At 58.3% G+C, this 16,451-nt stretch overlaps 1 protein-coding gene across 1 annotated transcript, besides 4 other annotated features; it reads right to left on the reverse strand.

Annotated features, from left to right (window-relative positions):
- Window positions 1-2,104: part of a biological region, named in NCBI's record as "CLCNKB recombination region", that runs on past the window's edge. NCBI's record gives its function as "recombination_partner: LOC106501712".
- Window positions 1-2,104: part of a non allelic homologous recombination region, noted in NCBI's record as "sub-region c', recombines with sub-region c within the CLCNKA recombination region", that runs on past the window's edge. NCBI's record gives the evidence for it as "EXISTENCE:polymerase chain reaction evidence [ECO:0000082][PMID:15044642]".
- On the reverse strand, window positions 414-16,296 carry FAM131C (family with sequence similarity 131 member C). The gene is made up of 7 exons (NM_182623.3): window positions 16,066-16,296; window positions 6,166-6,281; window positions 5,144-5,179; window positions 4,744-4,837; window positions 2,514-2,696; window positions 2,139-2,249; window positions 414-1,362 (listed from the first exon to the last, which is right to left on the reverse strand). Exons 1-7 carry the CDS (start codon window positions 16,085-16,087, stop codon window positions 1,082-1,084), a joined length of 843 nt encoding a protein of 280 aa, NP_872429.2. The 5' UTR covers window positions 16,088-16,296; the 3' UTR covers window positions 414-1,081.
- Window positions 3,151-3,341: a silencer, noted in NCBI's record as "fragment chr1:16387001-16387191 (GRCh37/hg19 assembly coordinates)". NCBI's record gives its function as "represses an EF-1alpha promoter that drives an FKBP-Casp9 reporter gene in an ReSE screen in K562 erythroleukemia cells {active_cell/tissue: K562}" and the evidence as "EXISTENCE:reporter gene assay evidence [ECO:0000049][PMID:32094911]".
- Window positions 16,191-16,350: a silencer, noted in NCBI's record as "silent region_323". NCBI's record gives its function as "represses an Ori minimal core promoter by ATAC-STARR-seq in GM12878 lymphoblastoid cells {active_cell/tissue: GM12878}" and the evidence as "EXISTENCE:reporter gene assay evidence [ECO:0000049][PMID:35858748]".

Genomic DNA, 16,451 nt, shown 5'->3' on the forward strand with positions numbered 1-16,451 from the left:
TGGAGCTCCTTACCTGCGCTGGCCCAGAGTGAGTTTCCCGTGGTCACGTGGGCACTGCAGGCTCGGGCCCCTGGGCTCCTCCTCATGCTCCATTTCTTGGCAGGGAGATGCCAGGGAGAGAGGGTCTCCCACCAGGTCTATGATGCTTGTCCTCATGGATAAGCAGGACCCTGTGTTGCTCAAGCCCTAGTCTCCTGCTTGGCTGGGCCACAGCTCATAAAGCCAGGACCCAAGTGTGGCTCCTTGGGGAGTCCACAGAGCCTTAGGCATCCTCCATGGGCCCTCTCTGGCTGGGTGGGAGCAGGTTGACCAGCTGTGTGAGCATTGGCAGTAGGGACCTTCCCTGACTCCCTCCGGACTCTGTCCAGGGGCCCAAGGTCACATCTTCCCCAGCAGAGACCAGGCCAAGGTCATCCAGGGTGAATCCACCACTTTAATGTCCTCAGAGAACCTTGAGTGAGATGGGAGGGAGCCGCAAGGAGGGGGAGTGGGCTCCCAGGGGTGAGGAGCAGGGGACACGGAGGAAGCAGGTTCAGAGAGGGAGGGACAGACAGACAGACACTCCAGAGAGACAGATGTCCTGGGTGAAGAGAGCCGGGGAGCAGGTGCTTAGCTACCAGAAGTGGTCACCCCACCTTTGCTGGGGGGCAGACACAAGGAGGGAGTTGGGAGGGACTGAACCCCAGGTACAGGCAGGGTTCCCAGACCCCACTGTAAGTGGGTCTCAGTTCTCTCCATGGCTGTCCTCCTGGGGGCCTGGCTGTTGCTCCTCTGGGCCAGGCTGCCCTGGTGTCTCTGAGAGTCCGTGAGTTCCCTGAGGGCAGACACCCTGCAGGGGAAGGTGCCCACCTGAGTGAAGTAATGAAGGGGGAGGGGGTTATGGCTCCCACTGCTGGGGCAGGTCCACCGAGGCACAGAGAGGCCACCATGAGCACTGGCCCCATCCCTGCCGCACCTACCCTGTGCCTACCCGAGGGGTCAAGGGATGCCCTGCCCTGGACCCCGGGGTCCAGATATGCCTGGGCTGCCCACCAGGCGAGGTCATGGTGAGAGCAGGTGCTGGACCAGCACAGCCCCCACCTCAGTTATAGAACACCTCGTCCTCCTCCCAGAGGGAGCCGCTGTCCATGGAGGGGAGGGAGCCCGGGGGGTGGGTCCCACCCTCGGGTCCTTGGGCCCCGGGCAGCCGCCGCCGATGCTGCAGCTCTGGGCTGGGGGGCTGCGGGATGCCAGCGGTGCTGGGGGGCTCCTCAGGTGAGGGACAGCTGTCAGGGGAGGGGCTGGGCGAGGAGAAGGCCTGAAGGCTGTCATCCTGTGAGGGGCCGCTGGGAAGGCTGTCCTGAAGGTAGATGCTCTCCAGATCTGGAAAAGCAAGGGGGTGATGGGGGAATGGCGTCCCAGATCCAGCTCCTCGCCCTCTCTGGGGGTGTGAGAAAGGGCAAGGGGCAGAAGACCTGCCTCCAAATCCAGCTATGTGACGGCCGAGCCTTGTGACCTTGGTCAAGTCACCAAAACTCTGAGCCCCAGCTTTCTCCTCCAGGCAGTAAACGGAGGAGTTAAGAGTGGGCTTGGAGCCAGCCTGTGCTCTCTGAGAACTGGGACAACCAGTGCTCCTCTGGGCCTCTGTCCCCTCCCCGTCCCTCTTGGGGCAGGAGGACTAAGTGCAGGCTTCCCCCAGGGCCAAGGCTCCTTGAAGCCCTCAGTAGTAACCTGGGCTTCTAGAAAGGTGGTTGCTCGTGCCTGGTGCTAAGTTTCAGATCCGGCTCTGACGCTTCTAGCTGTCATTTGGAGTAAGTTTCTGAACGTCTGAGTGCCTCTGTTTCCTTATTTGTAAAATGGGGACAACAAGACCCACTCCCTAGGGCTGCTGTGAGGATTCTGTGAGGTGCCTCGTGCACAGCCCTCGGTGTGGTAAGCGCTCGATTCCCGCCCCCACTGTGCTCACTCTCTCCTTCCTGCTCCTGGCACTGCCGGGCAATGGGCAAGGCAAGGATCACTGCCCCATTTTGCAGATGAAGAAACTTAGGCTGAGAAAAGGAAGGGGCTTGGCCGAGGTCACACTGCCTTTGGTGATGGGCAGCCATCCAGAATCAGCTCCACTCTGCCCACCCCCGCCCCCTGGACCCTCTGGGCTGTACCTTGGAGCTGGACGATGCCTTGGGGGCTGTTCTCGGGGTGCAGCTCCTCTTCGTCCAGCGAGGACCAAGCGCTCAGTGTGGCCTCTGTGATGGCAAACTGCTCGGCGACCCCTGGGGGAACAGCGAGATCCAGCTCAGGGGGGCATGGGTGGGGACGGCCTCAGTGCCTGATGGAGCTGCTCCAGGACAGGCGGGAGGGTGGCCACCTCTCTGGGCTGCCAATCCACACCCCAGTGGTCAAGAGTGCTCACTTAATACTCACCCACCCTATGCCATTATTTTTTCCTGCCCAGACAATGCCCATGCAGTGATCTGGGCCCCCAAGGACCCAGCTTCACCCCCACAGAGCCCTGGCCAGTCCCCCTCCTCGCTGACCTGCAGCAAAGCGGGCCTCACGCAGCTCATCCGGGAGGCAGCAGTAATGCTCGTCCTCAGCTGGGGACAGCTCCCAGCCTGCCGGCTGGGCACTCCAGCCCTTCCACTCGATGAGGTGGGCCACGCGGCCTCGGGCCATGGCCGTGGGCTTTGTGATGTGGTCCTTGATGCTCTGCACCACCCCTGGGGCATGGAGGGCATCTGGGTGACTGTCCTGACACAAGGCTCAGCGCAGGGCCTGGCCCCCATGCCTCAGGCCCACCCAGTGGCCTGTACCCCACATTCCCTCAGTGCACCATGATCTCCATCAGTGCCCCCACACCTCCCCAGGGGCCTGTACCCATCTAACTCCTCACGCCCTCCAAAGCCTTCTGCTCACTCCTGCCCTGAGCCCTCCGAGCTCTGTGGCCCCCTTCCCTTAATGCCCCCACCCACTGGCATCCACATTTCCTCCCAGCATCCTACTCCCAGTCCATGTTCCCGCCCACTGGATGCTTCTTCCCCAGATCGGCCACACCCCTCACTCCCTTTCTGACCAAGTTCAGACCCTTCCATCCAAGGAGAGCCACCCAAGGACCACTCATGAGCCCCCAGCTTTCTCCATGATCCATTAAACACATTCTGAGAGAGCATCTCTGTGGCCTGCCAGCTCTGCTGGAGGTGAGACCTGGGTGGGTGGAGCAGGCAGGGAAGGCTTCCTGGAAGAGGGGACCTGGGATTGGAATTTGAAGGTGGGTTGGGTTTGAACAGACAGAGGCAAGACTGGAGGTTTCATTTCAAAGATGAGAAGAGGATGAAGGCATGGTAGTGTCTGGCGTGAGTCCAGGATTAGCTGGGGTGAAACATGGGGTCCACTCTAGGACTGGGCGGCAGGAGAAGCTGGGAGCTGATCAGGGACAGAACAGGGTTGGGGAGAACCAGGTGGAGGGCTCAGATGTTCCTGTGCAATGGGGAGCCCCAGCAGGGTAATGAGCAAGAGAGTGACCAGTTAGAACAGCTGTTTAGGAAGAGCAACCCAGTTGGAGGATTAGGGGTTACCGCAGGGACCCAGCAACAGACAAGGCAAGGGCTGGGCAGACAGAGAGGAGGGGTCGGGGGCTTTGGGAGTAGAGCTGTTGTATGCGGAAGATGGAGAGGGGGCTGCCAGGAATGGTTCAGCATCACCATTAACCAAGGCTGAGAATAGATCTGGGAGTCACCCGGGTCCCCGAAGCCATAATGTGAGGAATGGCAATATTTAAGTAGGAGGAAATATCCACAAAGGTAATTAGAGAGTGGGGAAAATGGGAAAGATGGGGGTACGGAAGAAAGGGGAGACTCTCCCTCCCACCCACTAAGTTGGGGAGTGTTGGCAATTGGAGAGGGTGTTTTGTAGGAAGTAGGGGTTCAAGTGGCCCTTGAAGGGCAGGTGAGGTGGAGGAAGGCACTGGAGATGGAGGAAAGGCACAGGCCAATGTGGGGAGGGAGGGCCCCAGGGGCCTCAGGGGAGCTGGGTGGGATTTAGTGCTGGGGCCACCTGATGCTGTGGTGGCCACCGAAACCTGCTCTACAGGCCTGGGAGCCCATGCCCAGCTGCTTCAGGTGCTGCTGCTGTCAGCTCACACCCTTATCTGGAGAACCGCCCTGAGCTCCTGGGCACCTAGAGAGGCCGGGAGGCTACCTAGTCCTCCCCAGGGGCAGCCAGTGAGTCAGCAATGGGGGAATATAAAGTCCAGCCCCCTTGCCTTGGGGTGTCATCAATTCTGGGGTGCTATTTGTGCTCCCAAGCTCCCAGTGGGACCAGGTGGGCAGGGCTAGACTCCTGCAGAGCCCCTTCCGAAGGCCCCTCTGCCTCCCCCGCTGCCTGCTGGCTTCTCTTGAGGGCCATTCCCCAGGGAATCACCTGCACAGTCATGCCCATGTCAGGCTCTGCTTCCAGGGAACCTGAACTAAGGTGATGGGACTGGCAGAGAGGCAGGGAGACCATGCCAGACAGACATCTGAAAAACTCTGCCCCACCCCCTCAGAGCTTCTTGAGAACCCAGCAGTTTAACCTGTGGAAGCAGAACCCTGAGCCACTGGTCCCCCCGTGACCCGCATAACCCAGCATGGACTCTGGCATTTAGAACATGGAGAATCCAATAGGGCTGCCATCCTCCCACCTGCAACTCAGCCATGCCCTTCCCACAGCCAGGGTCTAGGGTGGGACCGTGCATTCTCCACCGGCAGGAGAGTTGCGGCCAGAACCTACCCACAAGGGACGAGGTGGCCAGGGCTGCCACGTTGTAGTTGCCGGGGCGGGATCTGGAGTCGGACAGGTAGCCGTTGGTGGTCTGGAAGCACCTCTGGAGGAAGTGGCAGGAGGAGTGAGCAGGGTGGGCCAGGCTGCCGGCCGACATCCCTCCAGCACCACCACCCATCCCCGTCTCCCAGCTCACCAGGTCCTCTGGCCAGTGGGCAGGGACAGGGCAGCTAAAGCCAGGGAGATCCTACTAACTCCCACGGGACAACCCCCACCCACTGTTTCATCAGGCCCCCCCCCCCCCCGCCCCAGGGCCAGCAGGACTGTGTGCCTGGGCTGGGCACAAAGGATGGAGGGGCCGTGGTGTCAGCTGGGGCCGGCTAGAATGGGGACACACAAGTGCACTGACCTGCCAAGGATCCCAACAGAAATCCATCTGTTTGTCCTAAAACAAGAGGAGAGAGAGGATCAGGCAGGGCCTGGCACGCTGTGCCAGCAGATGGCCCGAGTCCTGGGGCCCTGGGTGGGGGTGGGGGTCAGCCTTCTTCTGGTGCTGTGTGAGGTTGGGGTCTGCCCTCTCATGGGTCATGCTCTGGTGTCCCCCGGCATGCAGAGGAAGAAGGAGGGGGCAACAGTGGTGCTGGGAGGACAGGCCTCGGGTGCCGCTTATAGAGCAGGCTTGGGTGTGGGCTCTGACTTTGCCATTTCCCAGCTGGTGTCCCTAGACTATTCCTAACAGCTCCGAACACGTCTCTTCCTCTGCAAAATGGTGACAATTTCATTCACCTCATGAGTTGTGGTGAGGCCTAAATAACATAACGGAGGCTGAGAAGAGCTGAGTGCAGTGCTTCGCAGGAGGGGTGTGCCGCTGGGGAGAAGGTAATTATATCATCCAGTGGGTTCATGCCACAGACCCTGGAGCAAGGGCGGAAATTATGCACCAGAATTTGGGGTCCCTTGTGACCCTTAGTGACATCTTCTAAATCCATCTGGACTGAGAAACATATATAAAATTTTAATATATATAATATATAAATTATATTCATATAAATTATATATAATATATATAAGTTATATATTATATATTTATATACAAATTATATGTATAACATAACATATATAAAATTTGTGAGGCTGCTCAGGAGTAGCGGGCTGGTAGCGGCATGTGTTGTCTGCAAGGCAGAGTTAATTTGCGCAGGAAGACCTTCAGGGTGGTTGGTCTTCTAAACAAGCCTGGTCCAGTCCCTGGATGCTCAGTCCAGTCCAGCCCCTCATGCTGCTGAATACCAGGCCTTAGGGCCCCTGGTCCCACAGGGAGAAGCGGGTTTGGCAGGGAAGGAAGGAGACTGGAATGGATTCTGCTCCCTGCGGGGAGGAGACAGGCCGGGAACCGGGGCGCAGGTAGCACAGGGATGAGGAGCAGCCAGTTACCTTGCCAATGACACAGTCTGGAGCCACGGTGGGAGTGCGGCCCGAGGGCAGATCTGGGTTCAAGGGGTCCGCACCCTGGGGCATGGGGCAGTTCTTGTGGGCACTTGTGAACAGGTCTGGAAATAAGAGCAAGAGGAGGAACTCAGCAAAGCCCAGCCCTCTCTTGCTTACAAAGCATGTTCAAGGCCCCCCCGTAAGGTGAGTATGGCCTTGTTTTTATCCAACAACATCGTAGAGAAAGCAGACTCAAGTCCACAGCAGGGAAGGGGTCCAGCCAGATGCCCTCCTGCCTGTGCCCCTCAGCGGGAATTACTGGCCTCATCTTCTTTTTACTCCCTTTTCTCAGTTTCTAGCACCCACACTCCAGCATGATTTTGGCCTCGTGGAGATCTTTAATCCATTTACCCTCATATTTCCAGACTAGATCCTCCCGTCCTCTTTTGCTCCTGGCCCGGCTGACACCCTGGCATGGCCTCTGAGCTCTCTCTCACAGACGCCCTTACCTCTCACCCCGGTTTGGGTCTGACCCTCCTGCCCTGTGCCTGGATCTGAGGAGCTGAATGTTGCTGGAGAAAGTGACCGCTGCATGCGAGATTGTAGCCCCAGCCTCCCGTGGGACGCTGCCCGGATCCTTCTCTGTTTCTGCATTTCCTGCTGTCTTTGTTTCCTGCCAGGTTGACAGCTTCACCCCATCCTTCCTTCTCAGACATGAAACACACCCCCTCCCCTACCCCACACACTGCTGGGGGCTTCTGCCCCTCCCTCACTGGGTCCAGGATCCTTGGAAAGGTGTCACCTGGATCTTTCCACCCAAATCACCAGAGCCTGCCTGCACCTTTGCCCACATCATCGCCTTTCCCTCCTGCAACAAAGGAAGAGCTGTTCCTGCTGCACCCAAGACCTTCTGGCCCATCCACCCAGGGCTGGGTCCTGCCCCTGCCCTCCCCCCAGAGGCTCTGCTCTCCCTCCTGCGGTGTCACTGTGCCCTCTCCACTCTGTCCACTTTGAAGCATTCAGCCGGGATCTCATATGCTGCGATGTGTCTTGGGCTCTGGACCTTCTCCTGCATTCTCACTCCTCTGTCCCCTTTACCACTGGGTGGGGCCGTCAGCATCCTGGCAACCCAAGCATCTCCTGTCTTCTCAGAAGCTTGTGACCACTGTTTCCTTCCAGCGACTTGGCCGTTCCTCTGCTCCCTTCTCGCTGGACGTGCAGAGAGCTGTGTCCCACATCTACTTCCTCGTCCTCCACTTCTCCTCCACCCATTCCAAGCAGGCTTTCATGAGGCAGCCCTTGCCAAGCTGCCAGGAAAATCCGTGGGGCCAACTCCAATGGGGGCTGCTCCAGCCTCTTCTTGGAGCTGGAGCTGTGCAGCCTTCCTGCCCTCTTGAGCCTCGCTCTTATCCTGGCCTCTGGCCTCTCTGGCTGCTGTCCTGGGTCCCCTCTTTGGCTCCTCCCTGGCTCACCCCTGCCCGTTGGCTGGCACACTTCTGTCCTGGCCCTTCTCCACCCTCTCTCCCCAGGAGGTCTCACCTTCCTGTTTCCGCTGCCCGCTGCCCATGTGCACACCTCCAGCCCTGACTCCTCACTTGAGCTCCCAACTGAGTTTCCAGCTCTCCACATGGATGCCCAAGGGGCACCCCAAGCACACCTGGGCAAAAGAGGATTCCCAATTCCAGGTCCACCTTCCCCCCATCCCCCACTGCACCAACTACAACCCTGGGAGTTTCTCAGGGTCCTGCCTTCCCCCACTCTCCCCGGGGCCACGCAGTCAACCGGCAAATCCTGTTAGCCCTCTCTTAGGTCTATTCCAGGTCTCCCGGCTCCCTTCTCCCAGGGCTCCCCTGCTGCAGGCATCCTCCCTCCCTGGAAGACAATGGTCCCTGCGCTCACTCTCTGCCCGCCAGCGGAGGGACTTAATGCTCTAGGCCAGATTGTGTCACTGGGGTTAGGGGACCATGTGGGTGCTGCCCCCAATTCCCCTGGATTCCTTTCTCCTGTTTTTGCCCTGGCGCCCTGCATGGCTTCTAAGAGGCACCACCTGTGGCTCTTTCTACAGGGGCTGCCCTAGGTAAATTTCTGTTGGCCCCACCCAGAGTGGCCCCAAGCCAATGACTACCAGGTGCAGAACCCCAGCTCTTTTGTCTGGGATCCGAAAATTCCCCTTCACTTACCCTCCGGAGTACCCTGCAGGACCAGGCTGAGGCCAGGCCTGAGACCACCCCACTGCCTGGCTGGCCTCCTCCATCCTCCTCTCGCTCCATTCCCTACTGGCTTCCTCTGGAAGGTTCACCTCATATCAGTTGTACCCAAATCCTCATTTCAGGGGCAGCTGGCAGGGGGAAGGTAAGCATTCAGTTGGAGGTGAGATTAAGGTTTTCTTTTCTTTTTTTTTTGGAGACAGAATCTCGCTCTGTCACCCAGGCTGGAGTACAGTGGCGTGATCTCGACTCACTCTAACCTCCGCCTCCCAGATTCAAGCGATTCTCCTGCCTCAGCCTCCTGAGTAGCTGGGATTATGGGCACCTGCTCATTTTTATATTTCCAGTAGAGACAGGGTTTCACCATGTTGGCCAGGCTGGTCTCAAACACCTGACCTCAGGCGATCCGCCTGCCTCGGCCTTCCAAAGTGCTGGGATTACAGGCATGAGCCACCACGCCCAGCCTGAGATTCAAGTTTTCATCCCAACTGGATTAGACTTAGTTTGCAGAAGAGACCGTAGGTTTCTGGGATCCACCCAAAGGTAAGCAGGTGGGCTAGTCAAGGAGGCTGGAGGCAGAGACTGGAGCCAAGGAAAGATCTTATTGACCACCCCACCCATGACCCAGGCAGGCCTAAGGAGGTGAGAGCACCTGGGGCAGCACGGGATCCTGTGGACTGAGCCGTGCGCCTGCACACCATAGCACTCAGCTCATCTTGTTCTTTTTCCTGAGTCCCTGCTGTGTGACCCTGAGCTAGTCCTGCCCCTCTCTGGGCTCCAAGGCCTCCATTTCCACAAAGGCCATGTTGTCCAGGCCCTTCAAAGGCAATGTTCAAACTGGGGGTGCATATTTCAGTGGGTCATGCAGCCGTTTATTAATTAGGTCTTATTTTAATGAAATAGAATGGAATAGAATGGAAAATATCAGAGCCCACTGCAAGTCAGGTTAAGTATTACTTTATGAAGCTTCTGTTTATGCAAACACAAGTCTGTGCAGATGTGTGTGCACAACACACACAGAGTAAAAATTTTCTCTGTGTGTATTCTGGGTCATGATGCAAAATATATTATTCCTATGGGTCCAGTCAAAAAAGTTTGCAAGTTGCCAATCCTGAGGTTCTGGAAATTCTGCATGTCCTGTACAAGCCAGGGCCCGCCAAGGTGCAGACAGGTGGCTCTGGCCATAGGCTGACCCTAGGAACTTGAGAGGTGTTAGGGTATTTCTAGGACCCCTGGCCATCCCCTGAAGCTTTTTTACAACTCTCCAGCCACAGACCAGGGAGCGAGGTTGATGGGGAGGGGAGCCGGGCACAGAGGAGGCTGGTGGTGATGCCAAAGCCTGGCAGAGGCATGACTTGAACAAGGTCATTTGTTGAGACGGTGGTGGGCTTGGAGGACTCCTGGCTCCCACCCCCTCCCCAGCCCGCCTGGCTCCCCACCTCAGTTGGGGTTCAGGTGCCTCCACCAAAGCTGCCTGCTCCCCCTGAGGACTTTGGCCCCATGATGTCACAGGCTGGTTGCCATGGGGACGTCAGGTAATGAACCAGCCCAGGGTGAAATCACAGGCTGTTCTTCGCCCAGCTGGGACTGGTGGTCACGTCACCACTGGCAACTGGAAAAACACAGAGTGTCATGTGGGGTGGGGGCTGGGAGGCAGCCCGAAGGGACCGCTAGCACCTGCTCCTGTGGCTCCCTCTCCCAGAAGGACACCCCCTTTCTTTCAGTCCACACCCTAGTCTCCTGACCTCAAGGTCAGAATTCCCTTCTCAGACCTGCTCCCTCCCCCACCTCCTCTGTCCACAAGAGTGACAGGCTTCTGGCTGCCATGGCAACCTGGAGAGGGCCATCTTGATTCTTCAAGGAGAGGGTGTCAACCAGATGTCTCCTCCATCCCTCTGTCTTCAACCAGAGCTTCTCCTCTGCATCTTGAGGGTGCTTCCTGCCTTCCTATGCCAGCTCCTCTTCAATCTGCTTTAGAGTCTAACCTCCCAGACAGTTCCTCCTGATGTCTAGCCTAAACCCCTCTTGTTGCAGTTCCCATACTGGTTGGTCTTCTCTACTTGATCCTTGGGTGAGTCTGCAGCACAACCCCTCAGGCTCCTCTCGTCTGCTTCAGGGCCTTCCAACTCCTTTAAGCTGTTCTCTGGGGCTCCGTGTCCCAACCCATTAGTCACCATGGTTGCCATCTACCCCAAGAGTGCCTCCCAGGGCTCTGCACCCCAGAGGGCAGAGAGGGACCGTGTTTGACTCTGCAGCAGCCCAGGGAGGGTAAATATCCTCTCAAAACCACACAGAAACTGAGCAGCAGCCTGGGGTCAAAGCGTCCCCTCATGCTCCTCCCCGGCCAGCCTCGGGCTTCTCTGCTCAGCTTCTCAGGGCACCTGCAGCCGATGCGGCCCCTCTAGCCAACCATTGCCCGGGTGTGTACTGCCCAGCTGTGATGTGCCGGGCTCTGCCCTTGGCTCTGAAGAGAACGTAAGCGGCCAAGGCATTCCTCTTACGGTCCCTGAGCTGGGTTTAAGTCCCCGCTTCTCACTTTCCGCTGCAGGGGGTGGGCATGGGACTTAGCCCCTGTGAGCCTTGGATTCTCATCTGTGAAATAATACCAGCCCAGAAAGGGCTGCAGCAAGGAGGAAGCACCTGCCACAGCAAGCAGTCCGTAAGCAGCAGCCGCTCCACCCCTCTCCCCTCAGTGTCTCTCTCTGGACAATGGGACACATCTTGGTCAGCCACTCCTCTGGTCCTGTCCCCAGGGCTGGAGCTGGCTCTGGAGGCTCCGCAGAGGGAAGCCCTTGAGGGTGAGTCCTTGGCCGCTCTGCCTGTTGAGTCACTGCCAGGGGAGCAGGCCACAGAGCTTGGCAGAGGCCAGGCCTCGAGTGGACTGAGTGTCCCCTCCTCCCCAGGACATTTGTTTACAGGTCACCTGAGCCGTGACAATAGCTCATCTGTGGGTTGGCTCAGCTCAGAGCTATCCAAGGGGGTCCCTTTCTCTCCCCGTGCAAGGATGGAGAGAGAAAATGGGCTCCTCCCCAGGACTTCCACACACCCCAGCTCCTCCCCACTTCCTTCCCCAGGCTCCCTCCCATCCTGTGACCTGGCCTCTGGGAACATCTTGCTCCAGCCTCACCTCCCACAAGCAACCTGCCCAGATTGGCCTCTGCTGGATTAGGTACCTCACCTGTGGTCCTAATGGCCAAAGTCTGGCCTGCAGTGATTTGCCGCCACTGTTTACTGAGCAGGTGTGACAGTACTGTGTCAGGTACTGTCTGTCCTAGGCCTGTTCACCCATGATCTCTCATTTAACCCACACAACAATCCTGCAAAGTACATGTTATGCCCATTTTACAGATAGGGAAACGGAGGCTCAGAGAGGATAAATCACTTATGCAAGGTCACCTGCTAATAAGCAGCAGAGATGAGGGTCACACTTCGGCCCTTGTGAAACTCCAAAGCTTGTGCCCCAACCACTAAACAGTGCTGATCTCCAGACAGGGTCCTCGGGGCATCCTTCCAAGGGTTCATGCATACTGCCTCCCCCATTAGGCTACTCCACGGGCAAAGCTGTACCTCTCTCATCAGACTGTGAGCTCCCGAAGGGCAAGGTCCCACCTACCCTTTCCTCAGTGCCTGGTGTAGGACTGCTCAGGACTTGGAAACTATGGGTGGCTCTGGTCGGCCCCCTTAGAGCTTGTGCCTTCACCCAGACATGATCAGATGTCTGAGTTTCCAGAAGAAAATTCTCGGTCTCTAATTTCTACTCTCACCCCCGACCCCACCGGCCCCCAGTGCATTGGATACCCCCAAGGTGGGGCCAGGAGGCTGATCAGTTGGCCTGGAGGAGAGGGCTGGGGCATGAGTGAGGAGGCAGAGTGGTTATGGCACCAAGGGCATGGAGCGGGTACTGAGCCCCTGGAACTGGAGAGAAGGGGGGCAAATATTCCTCTCTGTTCCATACAGACTGCCATTGGTTGCAGAGCCCCCAACAAATAGGGACCATTCAAGTGTTCCAAGAGGTTGTTTTTCTAAGCACTGGCCATATACTTAGCACCTCTTTTTGTTTTTGAGACAGGGTCTTTGTTGCCCAGGCTAGAGTGCGGTGGAGTAATCACAGCTCACTGCAGCTTCGACCTCCTGGGTTCAAGCCATCCTCCTGCCTCAGCCTCCCAAATAGCTGGGACTACCAGCACACACCACCACAGCTAGGTAATTTTTAAAAAGTTTTTTGTAGAGATGGGGTCTCACTATGTTGCACAGGCTGGTCTTGAACTCGTGGGCTCAAGCGATCCTCCCGCCTCAGCCTCCCAGTATTTAGATTATAAGCGTGAGCCATAGCACCTCTCTCTCTATAGGGACGTAAGAAAGCAAAGGACGGGGTTTCCACACTCAGGCTCTGGGGTCACATTGACCTGGATTCAAGTCCTGCCTCTCCATGCCCTGGCCATGTGACCTGAGGGAAGACCCTCCCGTTCTCTGAGCCCCACATCCCTTGTCACAGGGTTGAATGAGAACTAACTAGGTCAGGAGAGCAAAGGCTCAGCCTAGCTCAGGATAAGCGCTCAACAAACGGTAGCTTAAAAATAGATAATGAATGCAAAATAGCTCCTGGAAACAGCATTTGTTGCCTTAATCTGGTCCCAATCACTTTCTCAATGTCCTCAGCACCTCGAGTGCCTGCCACCCGCTGCCTTTCCCATGAGGCAGGATGTGGCTTAAAACCTCTGTAGGTTTCCCCTTCCAGCCATGAAGGCCCACATTAGCTGTCTGCACAGACAGGTAATAAAAATTAAAGGCCGGGTGCAGTGGCTCACACCTGTAATCCCAGCACTTTGGGAGGCCGAGGTGGGAGGGTGGCTTGAGGCCAGGAGTTCGAGATAAGCCTGGGCAACATAGTGAGAGCCTGTCTCTATTATAATATATACAATATTAAAATTAAAAGTAAAAATGAGAGCAATAGCTAATATGTACGAGTGCTTACTATGTGTTGGGTACTGGTCTGAATGCCTTACATGAATTAAGCCATTTAGTCCGCCCAGCAACCCTATGACATCAATACTATTATAATTCCCATTTTAGAGATGGGAACACTGAGATACACACACAAGGTCAAGTCACTTGCTGAGGTCACAGAGCTAGTAAATGGTGGAGCCCTGCTTCGTATTCTGCACTCCTAGCCTCTCTACCAACTAGGCAGACGCTAACTGCTGCCGATGCTGGGATGGGGTGATTTTCCCAGGTGTGGCCTGACCTAGGTTTTGGGGTTTGGCTGGGTGGCCCCAGCTGGGTGCAAGCTCTGGGCTCAGTATGGGCATCAGCCTGAGGCCTGCAATCCTTGGCCTTGGCCAAGGGTGGACGCACTCCCTCCACCCTTCCTTCTGTAGCAGTGCCTACCTGGCCTAGGAGGCACTGAGCGCTCAGAGGCTATGATTAGCAATCGATTGCTGGTGCAGGGGCCAGGTGGGGGGCTCAGGAGCCCACAGCAGCCTGCAGCTCCAGGAGAGTAGACAGGTGCAGGCACCAGGGCCGAGGGCTGGCTGTGAGTGCAGAGACTGAGGCCCTAGGCTGTGGAGTCAGCATGCCATGGTTTAAATCTTGGCTTATACTATCCTAGCTGTGTGGCCCTGGACAAGTCACTCCACTGCCCTCTGCCTCAGTTTTCCCACTTGTAAGATAGGGACTGTGTTCATATATAACCCAAACTAGCTTTATCTGCCTAAAACTTTCAGACTAGTATGCACTCGGAGAGCATCAGTGATAAGGAGAGGGCAGGGTGGGTCAGTGATGCAGCCACCCAGAGTCTCTGGGACCCTGGCTGTCCCCTGCCCACATGGCTCCCCATATTCCTTTCACCTCAACCCAACTTTCCTGGATGCATGTTGAGACTGCCAGGGGCCCCGTCCTCTCAGGAGGGGGACAAGGCTGGACTATACAATTAGATCTGGGGGGCGCTGAGGAAGCCCAGGCTGCAGAAGGAAGGGTGGAGAGAGCGTATCTTGGCTGCTGTGGCCCCAAAGAGCCCTGGCAGAGGGGGCGGTGGAGGGAGCCCCAGGTGTGGGGTCAGAGGACCTGGGCCCCAGCCTCTCAGGGTGACCTTAGCAGGCGTCTCTTCCTCCCCGGCCTCTGTCCCATGCTCAGTGGGTTCTCAGCTCAAAGGCCAGTCCTTCTGGGCTGGGACCCCAAGGTGCCTGATATGGGGTGGCCAAGTGAAGGGGAAGGGACACTGAGGAAACACTCAGATCCCCTCCACCTGGAGCTGGCCCCAGCCAGAGACTGCCTAGAACCTTTGGGGTTTCTGGAGCCTGGTGCTCCTAAAGAACCCTCAGCACTCCTCACTCTTCAAACTTCCTTCCCCTCCCGCTAGGCTGCAGGCCTCCCGTACCAGGTGCTGTGCTGGGTTCCTTGCTGCTGGATGCCCAGCATGCACACGGTGCCTGGCACACGGCAGCTATCATGTTAATATCAGCTTAATGCATGGATAAGTAAAGGAACCCCACACAGCCTGACCCTGTACCTTCCCCTTCCCCAGCCGGGATTCCACCCCGATACCTCCCAGAGACATCCTGAGCCACTTACCTGAATGCCCACAGGAACTCCTGAGCAGAAGCCCTTCGAGTCCAGAGGATGGGGGAAGGTCATTGTGCTCCTTGCTCAATACCCCCAGGACAAGGTCCCCTCTATTCTGGGTAAGCTACTAGGGGTGATGGGTGTGGTGGTGGTCAGTGGGTTTGGCCTCAGCCTGCAGAGCCTGAACCAAGGCCAAAGCCACCCCCACTCCCAGTCACACCCCCCTGATCCCACTGTGGGGTGAACAGACCAAGGTGGGAGAAGGGCTCAGCCCAATCGCTTGTCTAAAATGTTGCCCAACAGCCTGTTGGAAAGCTGGTGGTGATGGGTGGGGGTGGAGGTAGGGGGCTCCAAAGACCAAACTGCCCATCCCCCAATCTCTGTGCAAGACTGTGTGTCCCCTCCTCACAGATAGAAGAGGCTGGGGCCTGCCCTGGGCCCCCAGGCAAGGGCAGGTCCCCTCCACCTCCTTGGGTACCACGTGGGGGAGAGTGGAGGGTGACAGGTCAGACACAGAGAGAAAGGCCCAGGGGTAACTGGGAACATCAGCTGTGCTCTGGCCCTTCTGTCCCCTGTCCAAGGATGGGGGTGGGGAGGAGGATTAGGGGGCAGGGGAACCTTCTTTATAACCTGTGCCCCACCATTAACCCTTTCCTGCCAACAGGGTTCAGGGGCTCTGCAGATGGGGGCACCCGGTAAGACGTGGGAAGGGGCTGTGGGGGTGAGCTGGTAAGACCTGTGTCTTGGGGAGGGGTGGGAAAGGGAGGGTCTGCTAGTTCTCCCGGTGCCCGCAGTTCCTCCGGGAAGCCAGGAAGAACCAGAGCTGGTTCCCAGGCACCCGGCAGGGGGTGTGTGGCTGTAGGGATGAGAGCGCGGCACGGCACGGGACCCTGCTTCGTGTCACCTGCGGGGCTGCAAACTGGGGCGGGGATGCGGTGACCTCTGCACGTGCGCTCTCTGCGCTGCCCCCGCCCCCTACCGTCCCTAGCTCTGTCCCCCTCAGGACGCCGCGTCCCCAGGGGTGCGGCGGGGCCGTGAAGGGCGGGTCGCCAGCCCCATCCCCCAGGTCTCCGAGCGGCGAGGGGACTGCGCGGGTCCCCGGCACCCGATCCCCCCGCCCCCGGCCGGGCCCCCTCACCTCGCGACACGCAGGAGCCCATCACGGGGCCGCGGGGCCGGGCCGCTGCGCCCGGGGTGCGTGGGGCCGCGGGGCGTTCATGTCTCCGCGGGCCCGGGGCTGAGCGCTGCGGAGCCAGAGGACGGGCGGGGCGGGGGGCTCGGGCGCCCTCAGCTCGGCCTCAGCTCCAGCCTGGGTCGTCCCTGCTGCCGCCGCGCCCGGCTCGCCTCGCGCCGCCGCCTCCCGCGCAGTGCCCGCCGCTGCCAGGGGAGGGCGACACCGCGGGGCGCGGCGGGCGGGGCCCGGGGGAGCGCAGCCGGGAGGCTCGGGCACACCTGTGGCCGCAGCGCGCGGGAGGGCCATCTCTGTCCCTTCGGGGCTCCCCCACCTCCTGGGGTTGCCCGGGC

This window comes from Homo sapiens, chromosome 1 (assembly GCF_000001405.40).
Source record: "Homo sapiens chromosome 1, GRCh38.p14 Primary Assembly".
NCBI lineage: Eukaryota > Metazoa > Chordata > Mammalia > Primates > Hominidae > Homo > Homo sapiens.